The 23,941-nt window shown below is 37.2% G+C and overlaps 1 protein-coding gene across 2 annotated transcripts; it reads left to right on the top strand.

Annotated features, from left to right (window-relative positions):
• The first annotated feature begins 37 nt into the window (after positions 1–37).
• Positions 38–22,303, top strand: HOATZ (HOATZ cilia and flagella associated protein). Of its 2 annotated transcripts, NM_207430.2 has the most exons (7): positions 45–270; positions 771–812; positions 1,300–1,370; positions 10,143–10,223; positions 19,006–19,065; positions 19,672–19,724; positions 22,030–22,291. In NM_207430.2, exons 1-7 carry the CDS (start codon positions 45–47, stop codon positions 22,085–22,087), a joined length of 591 nt encoding a protein of 196 aa, NP_997313.2. In that variant the 3' UTR covers positions 22,088–22,291. The 2 variants fall into 2 exon arrangements, with proteins under 2 accessions (NP_001093858.1, NP_997313.2); NM_001100388.2 differs by lacking the exon at positions 10,143–10,223 and having other exon boundaries at positions 38–270; positions 22,030–22,303.
• Positions 22,304–23,941: the final 1,638 nt, after the last annotated feature.

Consider the following 23,941-nt stretch of genomic DNA (forward strand, 5'->3'; position numbering starts at 1 on the left):
CGGGGGGAGGGGAGAGGACGCTTGCAGAAGCGTCCTCAGTTGCCATGGAAACGGGACCCAGCGAAGAACCTAGCGGCCGAAAAGAGTCCCAGGAAATGTGCCCCCCGGGATTACTGGTATTTGCTGGCTCCTCGGAACAAGATGCCAACTTGGCTAAGCAGTTCTGGATCTCGGCGTCGATGTATCCCCCTAGCGAATCTCAGCTGGTGCTGCGCAGAGACAGCAGTCAGCGTCTGCCGGTGGCGCGGCCCAGGAGGAGCAGAGGGTCTGGTGAGTAGAATAGCGGCCTCCTGTCAGTCATATCTGCCTCACCGTAACTGGCCTGCAGGTACCAGAGCCCTTTCCAGGAGAAACTGCAATGGTATATACAAATAGTTATAAGTACATACAAATGCATGTATAAATATTTCCTGAACCCTTCCAGCAACCCTTCCACCCGAAAAGGATCAGTGGTATATATGTTACATCTAAAAACATATAAGTTTCCCTTAAATTATGGCATCTATTTGGTAAACAGTATAGAATAATCTGAGGAAATGCTATGTGTTGGCTGAAAGGATAGTTTACATAGTTTAATTCAAACATGAAAAGCCCTGGAGAAAGATGAAGGTGGAGTCAACATTACCAATGAACTTCCTGGACCTGTGAGCCCTTAGTGAGGCCTAGGATGTGGAAACTGTTATGCAATTGTTATAGTATAAAAAATTCAAACGCCTTTAATGTTGTTGACTTTTCCAATGATTTCTTTACTTCCCTTTTGTATTTTTTAGAAAACAGCCACTCCTCGCAGTCTTTTCACCTTGCGAGTAACAGTAAGTACCAAGTTTTATGCCTTTCAACATTCTGACTCCTAGGTTCATCAGAAAATAGACAATAAGTACAAGGGTACTACTTTACACTGTGGTATAACTTTCTGAATTGAACACCTAAGTCCCTGCTCAGGGACCACCCTGTTTATCCAGAGGACAATGCCTAAATTCCTTTAACAGTTTGAACAGGAATGTAGAAATTGGAATCTCTGATCCTGCAGATATGCTCTCTTTCGAGACTTTTTCTTGTCTCTGGACTCGAGCTTACTCATCATCTAAAGAGATTAGAGGTTCCCTGCAGCCATAGCTAATTAACTCAGTCTCCAGTTGTTTGCAAATCTGGTTTGTAAAGTTCCAATACACCACATGTATTTTTGTTTACCTTCCTACTCTATGTATTCCCTTTCAACCCATGTCCAATTTTATATCAATTTTAGTATAAAATCATAATAAAATTATTTCAGATTGAATTTGACTTTATTCCCTCTAGAAAATAGAGACATCTTTGCCGAAGCCCTAAAGATACAGGAATCTGAGGAGAAAGTAAAGTATCTCCAAAAGGTAGGCCAATATTTCAGAAGGTCATCTGATCATCATTAAATTTCTAAATAATCTTGATTTTTTAAACACATGTATATTTAAAAATCTGCTACTTCTAGTGCATCAGCTTGAGCAAATTAAGGAAACCTTTATTAGAATTTTAATTGAAAATTTAAAAATTCTATTCAACATTGGCTATTATCAATCTCAGCAAAAGTCCAAGAATGTATAGGAACAACAGAACCAGAGAGAAATAGAAAGAGGTAGAGTCACACACTTTCCATCCAGTAAGGTCCCCAACCATATACAGTGTTCTAAGAACAGAAATAGCATAAGAGGCCAGGTGCAGTAGTACACACCTACAATCCCAATGCTTTGGGAGACCTAGGCAGGAGGATCCCTTGAGGCCAGGAATTCAAGACCAGCCTGGGCTACATAGTAAGACCTCTAACTCTACAAAAAAAAAAAAAATTTTTAATTTGCCAGGCCTGCTGGTGCATACCTGTAGTCTGAGCTACTTGGGAGGCTGAGGCAGAAGGATCCTCTGAGTCCAGAAATTCAAGGCTGCAATGAGCTATGATCTCACCACTGCACTTCAGCCTGGGCAGCAGAGTGAGACACAGTCTTAAAAAAAAATCATAAGAACAGGAAAAATCAAATAGAATTAATTGTCTTAATAGGTCAAAATTAAATGATCAGAGGAATGAGTCTGTCATCTAGACCTGTTTTGACTAAAGGCTGGAATTAAACACATTGGTGTAGTCAAATCAGCTGAGCACAGTTCTCTTTCTGGCAACATCCTTTGTTTGCTTTTCATGATACAGGCATGGCCTTTAACTCAGCAATTAATACAGTGATTTATAGAAACATTTAGTTTGATTAATGTATAAATTATACTCCTGTAACTGTTCCTATACTGTAAAAGCAAAAATAGAGGATTCATTTTGGCTGAATATCTTTAATCATTGGACATATTGGCAAACTCTGACAGACTTATCGGGAATTCTACATAAATTACAAAACAATGCATTTGAGTTTGTTTATCACATTAATTCACTTTGTGGACTACTGGTGCTTCCCTCAAACAAATTAGGTAATTAGAAATAGCCAGCATTTTATTCTCTCTTTAGAATATTATGTACTGTATATTTATATCCAGACTTTTTAGGGAGGGGGAAAGCCTAATTTTCAGTGAATTAAAAATCATTAAAAGTCAACTTCAGTGCTTTCGGAATTTAATTTTCATTTTATTTCATTTTAGGAAAGGATTAGAAATAAAAGGTTAAAGACAAACTATTATAAATTTCTATCAGCTTTTGTCAAACAATAAGACAATATGATGTGAATTACCAGTGGAGGTTATGCTGATAGACTGTTAGGCTAATAATCTTAGAACTGGATTCCTTGTCTTGGCTCCTTCTATGAACTCATCTTAATTACTAAATTCCACAGATATTTATTGAGAACCTGCAAGTACTATACTAGCTGCTGGGGATCCAAAGATAAGATGTGATCCCTTATCTCAAGGAGTTTACAATCCAGTGGAGGAGACAGCCAATTAAAGTCAATAATTATTATATATTATAATATCATGATAGATATATGCACATAATACTATGAGAACACATTGAGGGACATCAAAATCAAGTGTAACAAATCAAGAAAGCTTCCCAAAGGTGCTGGGTTTTAAAGGATTTATAGTTTGTTAGACAAAGAATATGCAAAGCAATCCCTCACAATGTATTAGTTGTCTTCCTAAAATCCAAATATGATTATACTAGCCCTCCTGCTTTTTTTTTCCCCATGGCTGCCCATTTCCTTTACAAGATCAAGGCCAAACTCCTTAGCATGTTTGAATTCCTTTCCAATCCAGTCCTAACCTGTCTTCTCCTATCACTCTCCCCGCTTTCTCCTATGCTCTCTCCCCAACTCTGTATAGTTGGATCTCAACCATGCAGGCCAAGGAACACTATTTACACCTTCACATATATGCTTGCAAAGTGATGAACAGGAAAAGTATATTTTTGTTATACCTAAACATGCATAGTATCTGCCAAGTTGTTCATTAAGCCTAGTGGTCCTGCACTGCAATATAGAAGATGATTCCATTTGTTGACAGTAGAAGACAAGAGGCCTAACAAAACAGTAAGGCAGTGGGAAAGAAAGAGAAGTTACTGAAACTGTGCCTTCTTAGTATATGGGGAAACTTAGCACTATCTAGTACAATTCAATTTGAACAATGCCAAAATACAAAAGGGCAACCAAAAGAATCCTGAAATAACTGAATTGTCTTATAGATATAGTGAGATAACATAATTTAGTGTTCATAACAACCAATTATTGAATGTATATTAGGTACTGTACACTAAACTAAGCAATTGACATACATCAACTCATATACTCCTTAAAATAGCCCATTATGATTATCACCATTTGGCCAAACAAGGCCTAAAATGATTTTCCAAAGTCCCCACAACTGGTAAGTGGCAGAGCAGATTCAAAGCCTGCAATCCTAACTCCAAAGTCCATGAAATTAATCCCATAATAGATTTGTTGTATCATAATGATTGCTGACTATGGCATTGTTCAAGTATGCTGCCAAATATTCTAAAATTCAAAACTATGGTATGAATACAAATGTGAGAAGCACTATTTCCAGCTCTGGAACTATAAGCTGGTTCTCCATTCTGCAGTGCACTTTCATGTATCTGCCTGAAATGCTCTTCCCCATTTACCTTCAAGGCCTAACTCAAATGCCAGCTTCTGTGAAGCCTTCTCAGGGGTTACCCAGAGACTAGCAGAATGAATAGATCTCTTCTCTGTGCTCCCACGGCAAGCCACATATCCTTTCTCATAGTATTTGTACAGTCTCTGATGTGTATTGTAGGTAATTGTGTATGTTTCTCTCTTTCCTGCTAGATTACAGGCACCATAGTGTAGTAGATTTTGGAGACAACAAGATGGGTTTGGAAGCCTAACTCTGCCACTTACTATTTGTGTGACCTTGAGCAAGTGGTTTAACTCCTGGGATGCTCAGCTTCCTCATATATAAAAAGAGAAATGATTTTTTTTAATATCCTCCTCATAGAGTGATGTAAGGTATGTGAAGTGCCTGGCCACAGTTTACCCTCAACAAATTCACTCTATAAAGGCAGGGGTCATGTTTTATTTGCTTAACCTAGTGCCTTTTTGGTTATTAAACTCAGTAAATCTTTGTTTATTGAATAAATAAATGCATAATTAAATGAATTAAAGAGTAAATGAAGGCCCTATATATTGATATTTCAATTTTGTTTAGCTTTTCCACATAGACTCATCTGGCAAATTTTTCTAGGCTGATAATCTTTACTAGAATACTCCCAAAATCTAATCTGTTAGCACATCACCTCTCCCTAGTTCTGCTTTATCTCATGGGTTATGGATATAATGGGAGGAAACGTAACTCCCTGTAATTATTGAAACAGAATCTGGTTTTGGATACCACTTTTTTTCCTAAATCGATAATGTTGTCTCTGCATTGCTGCCACCACCATTCTAGAATTTTTAGCTTGATGTTAGAAAATAGATGAGGGGAGGGTATCTTTTTAACTAACGAAGCATTTACAATGATCTATTTAAGAGAATCTTCTACATGTTTTGAACATATACATTGATAAGTAAATTCCAGGTATAATTTTCATCTTAAATTGGAAAAAACATTACCCATAAATTCTCTTTAAGGTTTATTCTTCCACTTTCTCCTTAAAATTAATGAAAATCTAAAAATTAATTTCTCTCTGAAAGCACCTTTTTAACTCTCCTCAACGGATATTGATTTTTCAGTTGTTACAGTTTTTTGCACTTGAATATTATTCTCCATTTTGGAATATTTTCCAGGTATACATTATAACAAATGCTTTTGGTTAGTGATCAAAATGCTGTTAATCACAATTGCTATTTCTGTGATGGATATCCATGGCAGGAAATCAAAAACAATTGAGCCTGTCAAGATTAAATGGCTTGCTCTGTCCATAAAGGAAACCTCACAGCCCTACACTGGACCATCATTCCTCCTTTGAGAGTCCTAAAGTAGTCTGAAAATATTATAATAAGTGGATAGTCAGCTAATTCTTTGAAATCATAAAACTAATTTGCTTTTTAGTTTTGCCGCCTTTAAGAAAGCTCTTCAGCTGATTATCCCTTTATGAAAAGAATTATAAATAATTCATTTGCTGGGAGAAGGAAGAAGAGGTCAGAGCAGTATTTGAAGGCATATATGTAAATGACAGATTTGGAAATGATCTGTATTCAAAGTTTTAACATGAATGAATATAAATCAAAGGTTTTTACAGGGAAAATATGCAATCTGCAGAACAATATCCCAGGTATGCTCCTTATTTGGGTATGGGTTTTTAATCTGTTCTATTACACATTCTATGCAACCAGTAATGTCCATAGTATAAGTCTTCCTCAAAAGTTTGTTATATGGCACTTCCTTGAACCAGAAGCAAGTCATGCTACAATGAGAACATTACAGTAGTCCTCCTTCCATGATTTCACTTTCCTTGGTTTCAGCTACCTGCAGTCAACCATGATTCAAAAATATTAAATAAAAAATTCTTGAAATAAATAATTCACAAGTTTTAAATTGCTTGCCATTCCAAGAGTGTGATGAAATCTTGTGCCATCCCACTTGGGATATGAATCATCCCTCAGTCCAGTGGATCCATGCTGTAGACACTACATGCCTGTTAGTGACTTAGTAGCCGAGAGAGAGATCGCATTCACATAACTTTTATTACAGTATATTGTTATGTGCTCTATTTCATTATTAGTTATTGTTAATCTCTTACTGTCTCTAATTTACAAATTAAACTTTATCATAGGTAGTATATATAAGGGAAAACACAGTATATCTAGGATTCGGTAGCATCCGCAGTTGCAGGCAACCATTGAGGGTCTTGGAACCCCATCTACCAACATTGCCCTTTAAATGAAATTCATGCTGCAGCCATTTTGAACCACTTGTGGTTCCAAGAACCCAACAAGGTGTTTCATTTTTCTGTGACATTGAACCTACAGTTTCTTCTGCCTGGAAATGCCTTTCTCCCATTTCTTCCCATTTAGCTAATACCTACTTGTATTGAAATGCGGTCTGTATTCTCAGAAGAAAAAAAAACCTTAGAACTTCAAAAGGTTGTATTTTTAGACACTGAGTCATGAAAGTGGAAAACTTTTTAACATTATCAACTGTTGGATTATCACTTTCAAAGTAGTGAAAGGGATACTTTGAATCATTATAAGTCAACTTCAGAGAACCAAAGCAAAAATGTAGGGAATTTCCTCAGTGTCATTGCCAAGATGCTCAGATAAAAGAAAATCCTCTTTTGTGTCAAAATGATAGGGATTGGCTTCCGAGACAAACCTAAAATTTCCCAGTAAGTGTTACCTGGCTTTTAATTTTGCTTTCCCACCCTAATATGATATTTATGAAATTCCTTTCCTCCATAAAAGGAATACCAATAGGAAGTGGTGGATTTCCCCTTCACCAATAAAAGTTGTTTAGTCATTTAAATTCTTGTTCTTCTCTTCCTAATTTGTCAAAGCATTCAAGTGGAAGAGTCATAAAAACAGACTGTGCATTTATAGTAACAAGCAAATATTTTGATAGCAAATGATAATTAAAAGATTATATTAATATACATATGTTTTATGCTTTTATATCATCCATAAGTACCACTTTGTTTTCAAAAGTTATTCAATGTTGGGGAACATTTTCAGTTGACAGATGAGGTTCCCCTCTAAATCTTCTTTAGTAACATCTACAGTCTGTAAAATCATAATTGGGAGAGGAATGAGATTTGGGATCAAATAGCTGAATTTGGCTACTCTGGGCACACTGCCTACGGGGTAGCCCTGCTCTGCAAAGAGTAGGAAAAAAAAAATGCTGAATTCATTTGTCCCATATAGACCCAGCCTCAGAGTTCCATAGGGACATTCTCCAAATGCATCTCTTCCTCTTTTTTCCAGAGATCTGTGTATTATATCTTCTATACATTTCACCTTAAGAACAAAATGAAAACACTTTAAACGCTGAGATAATATTGGGCAAGGATCCACATTCATTATCTGCTTATAAAACATAATTAAATGAAACTATTAGATGCAAAATGAAGCAAAAAAGGATCATGTACATTTTTCCTTTTTAAAATTAATGCAGAACTATCAATTTGGTTCCAGTTACATGAATCCTTATTGTTCAAATTAGTAAACACTTTATAAGCAGCAGGGCAAATCAAATCGGGTTTATTGAAGAACTGGAATGATTCTGTGGATCAGGTAACTCAGAGAATAACCATGGCACATCTGAAATTAAAGCCATTATCCACCTTTGTACTTTGCCTCTATCTAACGCAAGATGAAAACGTTCTTAGGCAATTATATCAGAGCCAGATAATAAATGAGTGATGTATCTATATTTACTTCATTTTGTCATTTTCTGTGATAATGTATTCTAGTCACATAAAGTGTGGTCAAGAAAGCCTCAGAGCCTGACGATACAGTCATTTGTCTAGTTGACTCTTCCCAAGCCACTTGGGCAGTTCCCAAGCCACTGTATTGGCAATATAGTAGATCCTCATAATTCATGGATTCCTTATGTGCAAATTTGCCTACTAGCTATAGTTTATTTACAACCCCAAAATCAATATCCGTAGCACTTGCATGTTCATTTGCAGACATGCGGAAAGTGGTTAAAAAAAAAAAATTGAGGCTGGGCAGGCCAAGGCGGGCAGATCACCTAAGGTCGGGAATTCAAGACCAGGCTGACCAACATGGTGAAACCCCGTCTCTACTAAAAATACAAAATTAGCTGGGCGTGGTGGTGCATGCCTGTAATCCCAGCTACTCGGGAGGCTAAAATAGGAGAATCGCTTGAGCCTGGGAGGCGGAGGTTGCAGTGAGCCAACATCGCGCCATTTAGCCTGGGCAACAAGAGCGAGACTGTCTCAAAAAAAAATTGAGTTGTTCAACACACACGTTCACAGCTGAGATTGAACAAGATGATGTTTTGCCTCTGTGTTTCACTCTCATAACTCCAAACAAGAGTCTTTTTGTCATTTCATGCTAAGTGTTCACTTTTTTTTTTTTTTTTTTTTTTTGGTGACTTTGCTGTTTAAAACGGCCTTAAAGTGCTAATGTTCCTAAGTGCAAGAAGGTTGTGATGTGCCCTATGGATAAAATATATGTATTAGATAAGCTTTATTCAGGCATGAGTTAGAGTGCTATTACCATGAGTTTCATATTGATAAATCAGCAGTATATTTTAAGGTGTCTTTAAACAGAAACACACATAAAACAAGGTTATGTATTGTTCTATTGATGAAGCATTATGACCAGCGGCTGGCAGGAACCTAGGAGCAATGGTTTAGTATTCACTGATTCAGTGTTTGCGGTGACATTCTAGAACATAACTATGACAAACAATGAGAATCAACTGTACTCCTAAAACTGGTTGAATCACAGTTTAACATACCAAGACTTTCACTATCTGCCTTCTGCCATACCTCCCCAGCCTCATCTACCCACCATTACCCTTCAGTGCAATTCATATTACAGCCATTTTGAACCACTTGTAGTTCCAAGAACCCACCAAGGTGTTCTGTGACATTAAACCTACAGTTTCTTCTGCCTGAAAATGCCTTTCTCTCATTTCTTCCCATTTAGCTAATAACTACATTTAGCTGTTTACAGTCCAATAGTCATACTCAAGCCTTTTCTCACCCTCACATATCTCCTAGTCTGATATAAATGCCTCTTTCTTTAATTCTCTAGGACCCTGGGCATCCCCCTGTCATCATCCTTGAAATACAGTACTGTGGTGTCATTGCTCTGTTTCTCCTGTAGCTTCCAAGTTTCTTAAGGTGAAGGACCATGGCTTTTTTGACATTATAATCACAGAGCCTTACAAATAGGTGATCTCCTGACATACCAAATAAGTGTTATGAATGAATAAGTGGATTATCTAACTTGTCTGGACCAAATTCTGCATGATAGCCCAGTTCCTTGAGCTAGATGTCATATAAAGTATTCATTTAATAGGAAAACTTGCAAGAATAGCATTAAGACCCAGAGGCCTCAGACTCATAGGTGCTGAACAGACATGTAGTCAGTTGAGCAAGAGGATGTGGGAGCAACAGAAAAGAGTGGAAGTACATTTTGCTCTGTAGTCACAGAAGGAAGTCACAGTAGATGAGCAGAGCATTGCATGTTCTCCAAAGGAAGTGATTCCAGAAAAATTTGATAGACGTTCAAAAACATTATGCCAAGGTTTAACAGCATGTAAGAGAAACCCTGCCATGGGCATTGGAATGTAGGGTCAGGAGTGGAAAATAAAGCAGAACCCCTCTCCCAGAGAATCTGGAATGCTAGACAAGAAATTGAGACTAGGAATTGGACACAGGGGACAAGATAATATTCCGTATACTAGAACTTTGGTACCAAAGAGAGGCTTGGCCAAAAAAAGAAGGAAAGAAAGCAAAGTCCTAGAAGTATATACCCTTCCCCCAACTCCAATCACATTGCTAAATGCTTGTGTCATTCCTTACTGCCATATGTAGAAAACCCAGAAAGTTTAGAACCATCAATATAGGAGACAAATTGACCTAACTATGATTATTTTGACTTTCTTGGCCAGGTCAAAAAAATATTCAAAAATCAATTTACAAACAGTTGATTTTATTGTTGATATAAACTTTGATGAACAGCTTTTTAAAGAAAATGTGCATATTTTCTTTTTCTTTTCTTTTTTTTTAGACAAGGTCTCACTCTGTCACCCAGAATGAAGTGCAGTGGCATGATCATGGCTCACTGCAGCCTCAACTTTCTCGGATTCAGGTGATTCTCCCACCTCAGCCTCAGCCTCCAAAGTTTCTGGGACTACAGGTGCACACCATCACATCCAGCTACATTTTTTGTATTTTTTGTAGAGGCAGGGTTTTGCCATGTTGCCCAGGCTGGTCTTGAACTCTTGAGCTCAAGCGATTTGCCCACCTCGGCCTCCCAAAGTGCTGGGATTACAGGCATGAGCCACCACACAGGACAGGAAAATGTGCATATTTTCATTGTAACAGTAATTTAGCAATTTGTTTTTTTAAAAAAGAAAAACCCTATAAGTTATTTAGGATAGGGTATCTAAACTTTGAAACTTTCATTATAAAGGACACATTCTTTAGAGCACTGAATAACTAAAAATATAAAAGATTGTTCTTAACTGTGGTTATGTTTTATATACTATCTTTGCATTCTCTGGAGTTTCTGGTCATAAATGCTGCCAATAGATAAAATAGCTGGTAGTATAAGTATAGACATTAGTCTGTATGTGTGAGGTTGGATTGGACATTGTTTAGGTTTTACTCCAGACATGTGGGCGCCCTGCACTGAAATCATGGAGCCAAGCTGAACTCTACAGAATGTTGGCCAGAAGCAACTGAAAACTCTGTAGGCTTCAGAAGAAATCTAGGCAAGTTAGAGGTCAACACTGAAAAGGCAATGTCAAGTTCAGGCAAGAAGGGCCAAGCAAAGCCATAAACAGTAAGATGAATCATGGGCCCAAAAGATGGGAGAATTTTATTTGGAAGAATTGTGCAAGATTCATTCAACAAATATTTATTGAGCACTTCTATGTGCCTGGCATTGTGCTAGGAACTGGCATACAATGATGGACAATGACAACAAAACATGTTTTAACCTATTTCCCATTTAGAAAAAAGAAGTGCAGCTCACTGCCAGCACAGTGTTCTTGGGGCAAATGGGAAATGGGTCAAAGACACGAACTCTGCCCTTATATGAAATTTGGAGTCTAATCAGGGAGATAAATATTTCTGAAAGAATTACAGTGATGTTAGGATAACTTAATAGGGTGGTATTGATCCAATCAAGGGAATCAGGGAGGATTTCTACAAAGATTAACCAGACTGAGATTTGAAGGAAGAGCGGGCATTAACTAGGTCAGAAGGAGGTGGTGGAGGGAACATTGGAAGAGCATTCCAGGCAGCGAAAACAGCATGTGCAAAGACCCTCTTCTGGGAACAGGCACCGCACATGTCAAAAGCTCAATGGCCAATGTGGTAATATGGGAGGAAGGTTAGGCTCCAGTAAGAACAGTAAGAAGCTACTGAAGGGTTTAAATTGGGGAATGAGAATATCACATTTGCTTGAGAAAGATCAGCAGACTGTAATATGGAGAATGTATTGAAAGTGGCCAGAGCAGAAGTGGAAAAACCAGACTGGAGGCCATCACAAAACTTCAGTCAGGAGGTGATGCGATGTGAATTAGGATCATGCAGGTAGATGAGAAAGACCAGATAGATTGAAGGGATAGTTAGGAAGTAAAATAACTAGTATTTAGGGTTATATACTGGATATGGGAGGTGAGGTACAGCAAAGTATCAAAGATAACTCAGTTTTCTGGCCGCTTGCCTAACAGGATGGGTAGTGTCATTCTCTGAAACAGGAAACATTAGATGAAGATCAGGTTTGGGGGGTTTTGTGGGGGAGGGGCTACAAGTTTAGTTTAGACTTACCTAGTTTGAGATGCTTTTGAGAAAAGCAGGTGAACTGTCAGATAGGCCTGTGAATATATGGGCTAGAAACTCAAAGAAGAAGTATGAGCCAGAGATGAAGTTTGAGGTCATCTGTGTGGGGAATCCCTAACCTCTCCTTCTTAAGTCATTATGGGCAGAACAGGAAAGACATATCTGAAAGATGAGGTCAGTATCATTCACCCACTCATCATAGCTCATATAACCAGCAACAATGAAAATCTTCAAGACTCAGTAGTCTTTGCTAAGGAAAAGCTTTGATAATTATTGCAAACTGAATCATCAATAACATATAATTCAATCATATAGAGTTACCCTCAATATATGTATACTTTGTTGAATTTTAAAATGCAGTGCTCATTTTATGCTCATATTTTCTCAATATTAAAATACAAATCTCACTTATTACTTTTTTAAAATAAGTGCCTTTTAAAGCAATATTAAAGCAGTTTTTTAAATCACTTGTACTTCTGCTCTGCATGCATTTTGTGTGTGCATGCATGTACGTTCTTCAGGCAATTATTATTGGTAAAATATATGTAACAGATCTAAGAAAATATATGTAACAGAACCAAGAAAATACACATTTTTTTCTTCCTCACAACAGATAAATTCATACTTGATTGAAATCTGCATTTAAGAAAAATTGTATTGACTCCCTCTTATATAATGACTAATTTTTTTTCTCATTTTAGTAAGTTGTTATTTTTCAAATGAAAAGTGTATATGTCAGACCTAGGAGTTGAGCCAAGATCAAGCAATTTCCAGGAGGTATAGAAAGGTGCTTAGATCTGCATCTTTTTCCTGCAAGTCAGCATTCTTCCTTTCTCTGATTAATAATCCTGTAACATCTTCGATCCACTCCCATAGATTACTATAGTTAGGTCTATCTTTTAAAATCAGATTATACTGGGGAAAGCCTTCTCACTGATTATTCAGCCTGTCTTTTAAAGTGCATAGTAGATAATTTGAGGTCCAACAGTTCTGTATCTTATTATTAGAGTAGATATAAATTTCCTATATGGTAGTTGTAGAATCAACATAGCAGATTTCAGTTAATAGGCACAGGGAATGGTAGTAAATTCATAGAGTAAATTCATAGTTGAAGCATTCTGTTATCAAAATCAGCAAGCCAAGATGCATACTGCTTTTTGAAACCAGGCCCAAATATGAGATGTTTTAAAATGATAAATCAATAAAAACCTTAAGTCAATCATAATTCTCACCTTCCTAATGATTGCATTTGTAACATAAAAATGAAATGGAACCCACTGAGGAGTGAGATTCTTGCAGAATGTGAACTGAAATTCCCTAGTACACCTATAGACAGTTAACTCTCAATCACTGGGATAGAATTAAAAATTAAGGCTAGGTATGGTGGCTCATGCCTGCAATCCCAGCACTTCAGGAGGCTGACCAAAGTGGGAGACTGGCTTGAGCCCAGGAGTTCAAGACTAGCCTAGGCAACACAGGGAGACCTCATCTCTACCAAAAAAAAAAAAATCGTTTTTTAATTAACTAAGCGTGGTGGCATGTGCCTGTGGTCCCAACTACTTGGGAGGCTGAGGTGGGAGGATTGCTTGAGCCCAGGGGGCAGGAGGTGGAGGTGGCAGTGAGCCCTGATGGTGCCACTGCACTTCCACCTGAGTGGAGAGCAAGACCCTGTCTCAAAAAAAAGAAAATTAAATTCTGGAGGCTCAAGGAAATAAAAATCAGATAATGTTCTCAATTTCTGTTAAACCATAGAACCTTGGCTCTGCCTAGGTAATATTCTGAATTTGGAATGTAATTCCCATTTTACAATTAATTTATAATTTAAAATCCTTGCATAAATATTTCATTTACACTACGATCTTAGAAAGCTCCTCAGTTTATAAATACCACTATAATTCAACTATCTTTACCCTTTAGCCACATCTTGCAAAGAGCCACATGATACCTTCAAATAAGTAAATTAACTATGATCAAGGCTGAGCTCAAGCTGGATTAGCTCCACCTGCTGTATTCTGATAAGCATGCGTTTTCTACAAGAATAAGAATGTTTCTGTGAGAGCAGAGACTATATTTTTCTTCTTCAGCATGGTTGATGCTAACTCATTTTTAGAGTAAAGATTGAATGAAGAAACCATTCTGTCACTCTGTGTGTGTGTGTGTGCATGTGTCTGAAGTCTGTGTGTGTTTGAAGTCTGTGTGTTTGAAGTGTGGCAAAAGAAGCACAGGAAATGACATCCAACAGAACTGGAAATGAGTTTAAATCTTTGGCTCTGCCAGTTACTAGTTAGTTAAGTGACCCTGATAAAAGTTGTTCATTTTTACGTGGTTTAGTTTCTTCTACCTGTAAAGAGGTAATAATAATAATGCCCACTTCACTGTGCTATAAAGATAAAATGAGATAACCTATAAGGAACTCACACAAGGCCTGATATCTAGCAGTTACTCAGTGAAAGTTTGTTTTTATCTTCTCTGCTTCCCCCTCTTCCTTTTTTTTCCAAACCCATGATTGAAAAATAAAATTTTAGCAGGTTCAAAATAAGCATTAGCATTAAATGGAAATGCTTTGACTAAAAGGGTAACTCTCAAAGGATGATGACTAGATTACTAAAGGCATGATCACTCAAGTATCCACATCCTGATTAAAAGACAGAAGATTGGCTTGCTCATAGTGTTAAAATGAGACTCATATTATTTTCTCTTAATCTTTTTCTTTTTTTTTAAGACAGAGTCTCACTCTGTCGCCAGGCTGGAGTGCAGTGGTGCAATCTCGGCTCACTGCAACCTCCGCCTCCTGGGTTCAAGCGATTCTCCTGCCTCAGCCTCCCGAGTTGCTGGGACTGCAGGCGTGCACCACCACACCCAGCTAATTTTTGTATTTTTAGCAGAGACGGGGTTTCACCATATTGGCCAGGATGGTCTCGAACTCCTGACCTCATGATCCTCTTGCCTCAGCCTCCCAAATGCTGAGATTACAGGCATGAGCCACCGCACCCGGCCCCTCGTGTTATTTTTGATGAATGTTTCAGTCCAAAAATTTCAATCATAATCCACGAAAGAAATGCAGTTTGTATATGGGAACCAGGTCTTGAGAAGAAAGGACCTTTCTTCTAAAGTCTAGTGTTTATTAAGAGCTTTTTTTATAATTGAATATTAACTGAAAAGAAAGTTGATAACACACCAGAAAATTCGTGGTCAGAAGAATTTGCACTGCATATTTAATAACAAATCATATCTTTAACATCTCTCCTTGTTTCTCCTTTCCTCCCTCAAACTGTATTCACCAACTGACCCATAGGTCAGAGGTTGAATCGTAAGAATTCCTTCATGCCTGTAGACAAAAAGCAGACAATCTGTCCTCTTTTTTCTTACTCTTTTCAAGATTTTAAAAGCACTGAAAGAAAAATTTTCTAATAATAATAGTGTTATAATAACTACCATTTATTAAATGTTCACCATCTGTCATGCATTTCATTAAGTAATTTTTATCTCCAATTTTCACAACAACCTTCCTCACAGATTAGAAATCCACAACTGGGATTGTGGATTCTTTGGTTTACCTAAGATCACGAAGCTCTAACTTACATGTCAGTGATTACTGCATAGTTGTGGTGGGGAAAGGAGGAACCAGGCGGGAGAGTTAAGCTAGAACTTGCCATTCAACACACAGCGGAACTGGGATTCAAACCAAATGTATTTGACTCTACTAATACATATTGCCACTCAAGTCATTTGGCTCTGAAAAGCCAAAAAGAGAGAACCAGACAATTTAACTCTTGAGGTGACATTAAAATTCATTAACCATCTATAACACATTAAATGTATATGTTATATCACATCCTAATTTTCTGGAATCAGTTTTCTTTCACAATTTATTTTTTCAGGAATAGTATAAATATAAATCATAAATAAAAATATAAATATAAGTCACTAGTCAATGGTCAAAGATGTTATAAAGATAAATTCTGACCCCCTTGTATTAACAGTTAATTGAATAATTATAAAGTCTTATAAAATTCCATTAATAAGCCCAACCAAAACACTATAATTAGAAATGAAAATTTTTTGTTAATATGAAATTAAGAAGTAAGTTATGCTTCCTTACTAATAATATAAGTTATAAGGATCTTCTCTTACCAGTGAATTGTATTTAGCTTTCCTGGCAGAGATTTCCTAGAATATTCCACAATGTTTTTGTTTAGATGACACAATTGTTTACACTAGTTTTGTTATTTATTTCCAGGAAACATGTCCAGGAGGCAGAAATCAGATCATATTTGAAATATTTGTTTCTAGTGCATTATGTGATATGTGATATTTAAAGGCACCAAAGTCCTTTATAATAAAAAATAACTTGAAGTCAAGGAAAAAAATGAATGAATATATTTGTTATTCTACTATTATTTTTGAATCTTGTAACTAAATATTTGTCTTTTTATATGAGAAGCACAGGACAATATAACTGGTCCATGATTTCCCAATAGTTACACAGAAAAATTCATATAATTTTGTTCATAGGGGATTTTTAAAACTAAATTTACCCACTGTTTAATTTCATTTTCCAAAACTTTTTGTTTTTTGCTTAGGCCAATAACTGTGGATTACACAGTACAATGATTGCATTCATACATCATGACTCAATCAATTCAATTCAATTCAACAAAAATCCATTGAGTATCACATACAAAGCACTGCTAAGCTCTAAGGAAGGATAAAGAGATGAGTAAGGTTCTGAAAGAGACATGGTGGCAACTAAGAGACAAAGCAGGAACAGTAAGATCAATACCATAATAAAGGTATAAAGTGCTATGTAATCACAGTATGAGAGCAATTAATACTGATTGAATACATGTGTAATGGAAAAGTTGGAAAAGAAACTAACATTGAATACCTGCATTGAAAATATCCCAGGTCTTTAAGGACATTATTTTATTCAATCTATGCAAGTTGACAGATATTGTGAAACAGTTTTCAAATGTACTCTGAATTATTTTCTTTCAGTAACTGTGATATATGATGCCTAAAGCTCAAGTAAAACGTAGAAATCCTATCTCAAAATAAATAAAATTAAAACTTTGTAGGCTTATAAAAGGCAAGATTCATACCACTTAAACAGAACGATGCAAAGCCAAGGCACCCAGTTCACCAGCCAAGACACTGATTACAGCTGCCCAGCGTGGGCCCCTTCTCTGTGTGTCTTGATGAATCATGCCTGAGGTTTCTAGCTTCTTTAGCAGATGAGCCATCAGGACTGGGGAACCACCCTGAGAAGTACTTAGCCACCCAGCAGCTTCTGGGGCTTTGCACACGCTGTTTCCTCTGCCTTAAAAGCTTTCTTCCCCATCTTGTCTCCAACATTATCTGACAACTACCACTTTCAGGTCTAAAGCATGGACATCACCTCCCCTGGGACATCTTCTGAGTCCCCACCCCTACTCCACACACACACCTTTGTCTTAATTAAGGGTCCTTGATCTTCAGTTCGTTCATCGTACCCTATATTAACCCCACATAGCACACTTGAAACTATTGTCTTCTGCTACATAAGTCTGCAGTCACCTTACAGGCAGAAACTGTGTTATGTTCAGCCACTAACACATAATGTTACATCATAGGCGCTTATTATGGGTTGAAATACGCCCCCCCACATGCAAAAATTACATTGACGTTCTAACCAGCAGTACCTCAGAATGTGACCTTATTTGGAAACAGGGTCTTTGCAGATGAAATTAGTTAAGATGAGGCCATAGTGGAGTAGGTTGTGCACCTAATCCAGTCTGATTGGAGTCCTCCTAAGACAATTGCCACGTGAAGACAGACACACAGAGAGAATGCCATGTGACAACAAAGGCAAAGATTGGGGTTACGCAAACCAAGGAATGCCACAGCTTGTCAGCAAACCACCAGAAACTAGAAAGAAGCAAAGAAACCCTATAGGTTTCAGAGGGAGCAGGGCCCTACCAATACCTTGATTTCGGACTTCTAGTTTCCCGAACTGTGAGACAATAAATATTGTTTTAAGCCACGCAGTGTGTGGTACTTTGTTACAGCAGCCCTAGGAAGGTACTCAATAAATTTAGATAGATGACAGAATCTGCACCTGGCTATGACAAATCTGTGTCTATTCTCACTTCTTATTTCTTTCTTGCAGCTTGATCTAAAGAGAATTTATGTGATTTTATCTGGCCATTTGAAGTTACAAGTTTTATTTGTTAGATGCTAGATTATCAGGATTTCCTTTTTTTCTCAAATACACCAGATGTGATTTTCCGCCTGGCTATCTCCAAAACTTAATATAGATGAATTCTGTGAAAAAAATGGAACCTATATTTGCCTATTTTTATAGTTTATATATTGATAAATCTTCATGCCTGCACTAAGTTAGTTTTTTGCACTTAGGAAAACTTACCTGAGAATGTGCAGGTCTCAATATCTAAGCTAGAAATAGGAGAGACGAAAGAATAAGGCTTTGTTGCCCTGTGCAAGCGGCATGCTGTTTGAGCTTGCTAATCCTGCTTCTTGCCACCATTAGTGGCAATTTAGTGTGATGGTCAATAGCTTGAACTTTGTTGCTAAATGGAGCTAGGATCAAATCCGGTTCTGCCACTTAATAGCTTGGGTAAGTTATTTAACCTTACTAAGCTTCAGTTTCCTCACCTATACAGTGGAGTAATAGTAGTGTCAAACTTCTGAGTTATTATAAGAAAATAATGACATAATGTCTATAAAGCTGTTAGCATAGCTCATGTGGTAAGGTCTTAATAAATATTAGTTTTTTTTTTAAGTTAGTTTTTATTAGGTGCGGAAATAACCCCTGTATTTAGGATCAATTATGTAAAGCAGCATTTTATTATTTTACAATAAAATTTTACAGCATTTTAATATTTTACAAAAGCATTTTGTAAAGCAGCATTATCTTGAATAAAAACAGGATTTTGGCACAAACAAAAATGTATAAATATATCTTAGGAAAAAATATTTTAAAATTCTGCCAATACAAGATGAAAATGGAAGAATTCTACCTTTCGTAGGCGTAAGTCTTTATTATTGAATCGAGACACCCACTTTTTTCTTTCTTTAAACAGGCTAAAACAAGAGAAGAGATTCTCCAACTCTTAAGAAAACAAAGAGAAGAAAGGATCTCGGTGAGACCAATAGTGAGGCATTTGGATAATCTATCTGAGTGGATGAATTGTGGCAAATTTTGCAGAGGTTTTATAGATTGAACCCTTAAATCTAGCTAGCTATAGTCCAGAGCCATTGATATACCAGAGTGGGGCAAGGTATAGACATTAGATAATTTGGCAACCCTTGATCAATCAAAGCTATCTCCAGAGTTTGCAGCCCTCCTGGCATAAGAAATGAGGTATTATTGTCAGTGGAGTTTACTGTTCACATATTATAAAGCTGTAAGATATTAACATGGGCTATTTCAGTGCTAATATTTGTTTACAATGATTGAGCTTGCCTAGATCATACAAAAATAAATGTTAAATGAAGAGAAACAAACCTAATAAAAATAGTAATAGTATCATGTAAACTTGTGGATGCACAAAACAAACACTCCTGAATAAACCCCAAACTCTCTAATGTGCAACATTTCTGACCGACCCCACAGTTTCCAGATTTAAGAAGCTAGTCTTTATAAACTCTGTGATGATTTTACCTCAGCTTTTTTTCAAATGAGTAAATTCCAATCAGTGCAAGAAGTAAAATTTTACCTTTTTGATTTTTATTTTGTTTTGTTTCAGAAAGAACTGATTTCCCTTCCGTATAAACCAAAAGCCAAAGAACACAAAGCAAAGTAAGTTTACCTATGTCAAAAATATTCTCTCACCTTTCAACTTACTGTGTAGGGAAGCATTTCTTTTTTCTTACTTTGCCACTTACCCTTAAATCTTCTAGAAACCCACCCGTGTATTACAGATTTCTTGCCTTGAATAAACTTTCTTCTCCGCACAGCTATTAAAGCCTGTGTACGAACTTGTCTGTCTGTGGAATATGCAAGCATAAGTTAGTGCAAAATGGAAAGCAGCTCAGCCTTGAAGCTCTGTGCACATTCTCTGTCCCTCTCTTCTCACCCTGGGCTATATAATCACCCATCATCATGCCCTCCTGACTCCACTGTCCCCTATCCACACCTGGCCCACTTCTTTAGTGAATCAGCACGTGTTTGTGGCTCACCAGCTCTGAGTGGGCTAAGGTTGCTAAAACTAAGTTCATGTAGCAAACTCTCAATGATAAGGGAGTAGCCTTATCTCTGGAATAATGTTAGAGCAGGACTAGGAACAGTTTAACAGTCTAGAAGAGTTTAAAGGAAATAAGTAAGCAACAGTTAATCACTAACGCACCCCTAATAAGAAATCTGTCCGTTTTTGTATTATGACTAAAAACCAATGTGGCCAACTCAACATTAATATGACAAATATTTATTTTCATACCACATTCTGGGAGAAACAGAAAGTGATAGAATTTTGATTTTTCTCTCATTGGTATTGAGGCTAACTGCCTTTAATGCTGTCAAAGTAACACCCTTAAGGAAGAAAGAATATGTCTACTCTAATTTTGTAAACTTCTGGAAAAAAAAATAGAAAGATCATTTAATCACCTAGCTATATTATCTACACAATGCTCAGCAACCTAATTTCTCGCTTTTTAGCCAGACGATTTGACTTAGCTTCCACAGATGAAGCAAAACTAGCCCAATCAAGAGTGACTTAACGATACCAATAGTGGATGAAGACTGCTACTTAAATAGCATCAATAGATACGTCTGGGTGCCTTAGATTTCCGCATGTATTTTTACAGAACATTCCTGCTACTACCCATGCTGACTCACCTAATAATAAAACATTTCCCGGCTTGGACAGATAATTCTCTTAATAATTTAAATGCTTACTTAATTCCTTTTGTAAACTAACTTTGTCCTACATCCTGAAGCCTTGAATTTCATTCTATTCTGTTGTGATTATCTTCCTACTATTAACTTCTTCTAGCTACTCTTCTTTTTTTTTTTGAGACGGAGTCTCGCTCTGTCACCTAGGCTGGAGTGCAGTGGCGCGATCTCAGCTCACTGCAACCTCTGCCACCCAGGTTCAAGCAATTCTCCTGCCTCAGCCTTCCAAGTAGCTGGGATTACAGGCGCCCACCACCATGCCCAGCTAATTTTTGTAGTTTTAGTAGATACAGGGTTTCACCGTCTTGGCCAAGCTGGTCTTGAACTCCTGCTCGTGATCCACCCATCTCAGCTTCCCAAAGTGCTGGGATTACAGGCGTGAGCCACCATGCCTGGCCTCTAGTTACTCTTTGTACATTCTTTGGGCAACTAATCATGCATTACTCTGTGCCCATATTTTATAATTATTTAACTCTTATTATTGCTTTCATTATTTAACTTTTCTCATATTTTTTGTATTGTCTGTAACTATACTGTAAGCTCCATGAGGAATTGGGTCACCCAAAGTGCCAGCATACTGCTTACATGTTGGACTTCAGAAAATATTTATAACAAAAAGTTTAGTTGAAAAATATCATGTAATTCAGTGTTAGCCAATTTAGAAAGTGATGTTTGCATACTATACATTAATTTATAAACTTTAAAAACTATTCTATTAGACACAATTGTAAAATAACTCCCCTACATACACAGACTCCCCCTTACCATTCCTCCTTCAACAGGTCTTCTTAGTATAATCCAGGTCCCCTTCTGTTAGAAAGAAGGAACCGGAAAATGTGTTCATAGTAAGGTTTTAGTAGCAATATATTTATTATCCATCCCAGAATATTTGCATTTTAAAAGAAGTCTGAATAAATAAAATAATGGGTAAACCAAAGAAATCAATTACCAATGATGAAATCTCAGGAGTCTGACTCTAGAATAAACAAAACATATTTGGGGTAGGAGGGCTCCTGTACCTCCAAACCACACTTCACAATATCATAACCACTTCTCTCACATACAAGTTTATACTTGGTTGCAAAACCCAACACATAGAATCTACAACAGTGAATTTTTATTGGGAGAATTTTCAAAAGTTGTTTTCATGCTACATCATGTTCACAATGGCGGAGTTCTGTGTATTGGAACTGACTGATATTACTACCAACAGGAAAGTGGTATCAGAGTCAGATAAAGAGGACCAAGAAGAAGTCAAAACTTTGGACTAATTTGCTTGACACATGGCAGAGGATGGCTCACTTATACCTTCACTTTGGAAACAACCTTCTCTTAGATCAGGATCATTGAGATCACTGGCAACATTATAGTAGACAAAGAAATACAAGTTAAATACGCAGACTTCCAGGAATTTTACCAGTTAGTGAGTACTTGTGTTAAAATAAAGAAATAAAGGTTAAATATGCAGGCTTCTATGAATTCTACCAGCTATTGAATATTTGTGTCTATTTACTTACTGGGTACTACTGTTTGACACCACAACATACATCTCTTTCATCTTACCACATTCTCAAACTCCTATTTATCTTGTTTTCATTTGAAGGGTATTTCCAGAATTTCTATGCTAGATCTATATTATGAATATCAGGTAAGCAAGAAACAGGGGCTTTATGTGTCTTAACTTGTAGACCACCAGTAAAAACAATCAGGAAATAGGAATGAAAGGGCAGTTTTGAAAACTTCAAGTCTACTTGCTTTAATAAGAAAACCACTTAGCAAAATTTGGTTTGTTCCATTTCTGAAACATGTCTGAAGTCAGAAGTGAGTTGCTTCTACCTCTGTGAATAACTGGCTCCACGTGCCTATGTTTTACACACATACATAAACCCAGTGCCAACCCCCCTCACTTTCATTCCCTTTGCTATGTAATGGAAAAGAAAAGATTAAGGATTTGTCCCTTCTGCGCTGTCCAAATGGCAGTCCTACTCAGGGTTAGATGCTCTTCCCCATCCCTCCTTCGAGAGATCTTAGCATAATCCAGGCCCCCTTCTGTCAGAAAGAAAGAACTGGAAAGTGTGTTTATAGTAAAGCTTTAGTAGCAATATGTTTATTATCCACCCAGGAATATTTGCATTTTAAAAGAAGGCTGAATAAAGGGAACAATGGGTAATCCAAGGAAATCAGTTACCAATGATGAAATCTCAGGAGTCTGACTCTTGGGTAAGCAACATGTATTTAGGGTAAGAGGGTTACCCAGAGGTTGCAGCTCTATTTAGGACCACCATTTCCATCACTACTGGCCTCCACTTGGAACTCTTGGACATAGCTTTCATAAGACACAGCCCCCATCCACTGTGCCAACAGAAGACTGGGTGGCCCACTGGTCAGAGCGTAATCACAAGGACACATCAGGCTGCAAGGGAGGCTGGAAATTGTCTTTAGAAAATGGGGAGGGGGCTTCTGTCTAATTAAAATTCAGGGATTCTATAGCCAAAAGAAGTGGAGAATGGATATTAGGGGACAATGACAAGGTTCTGGCACAACGCTATTTGAAGAAAAATGTTCGGAACAAAAGGAAGGTAGTCAGGCCTAGGAAAGGAAAATTTTGAAAGTTATAAATTGGCAGCCCCATCCTAGCACCAGCAAGAATAAAAGGTATCCTGTCTGGTTGATGTATCTGTCTGCCTGGCAGGTAGGTCTTCGTTGTGAAGATGGACACAGCAGGCTATCAAAGCCTAAACTATTAAATCATATAACTAATTCCTTTCATTCTGATTCCATGCTGATAAATCTTTTTTGCCCAGAGGGAGAATATGTGTTCAACAGGCCAATGCAAGCATTAGTTTACCTGACAATTCTATTTCTCAATGTGTAAATATATTAGTCTCTTAGATTGGGTTTGAGCATGTTAAACTAGGAATTGGACCCTGGACCAGGGTAATTTTACCAAGAAAAATTCTACTTTGTGGACTTTCTTGGCAACCAGCCTTCCCCTAGTGATACCTCCCTACATTGCCAAGTGTAATGGTTAGCTATTGCTGCAACAATGCTGCATAACAAAGGGGTCTAAAACAACATTTATTACTGCTCACACATCTGCAGTTTTGTGTGATCTAGTTTGGCTG

This window comes from Homo sapiens, chromosome 11 (genome assembly GCF_000001405.40).
Source record: "Homo sapiens chromosome 11, GRCh38.p14 Primary Assembly".
Classification (NCBI taxonomy): domain Eukaryota; kingdom Metazoa; phylum Chordata; class Mammalia; order Primates; family Hominidae; genus Homo; species Homo sapiens.

Coding starts and splice junctions, on each gene's coding strand:
- HOATZ (NM_207430.2), top strand. CDS start 45: ATGGAAACGGGACCCAGCGAAGAACCTAGCGGCCGAAAAGAGTCCCAG. Junction 1,371..10,142: donor AAGTAAAGTATCTCCAAAAG/GTAGGCCAATAT, acceptor CTTTTTTTTTAG/ACAAGGTCTCACTCTGTCAC. Junction 19,725..22,029: donor GCCAAAGAACACAAAGCAAA/GTAAGTTTACCT, acceptor TACTACCAACAG/GAAAGTGGTATCAGAGTCAG.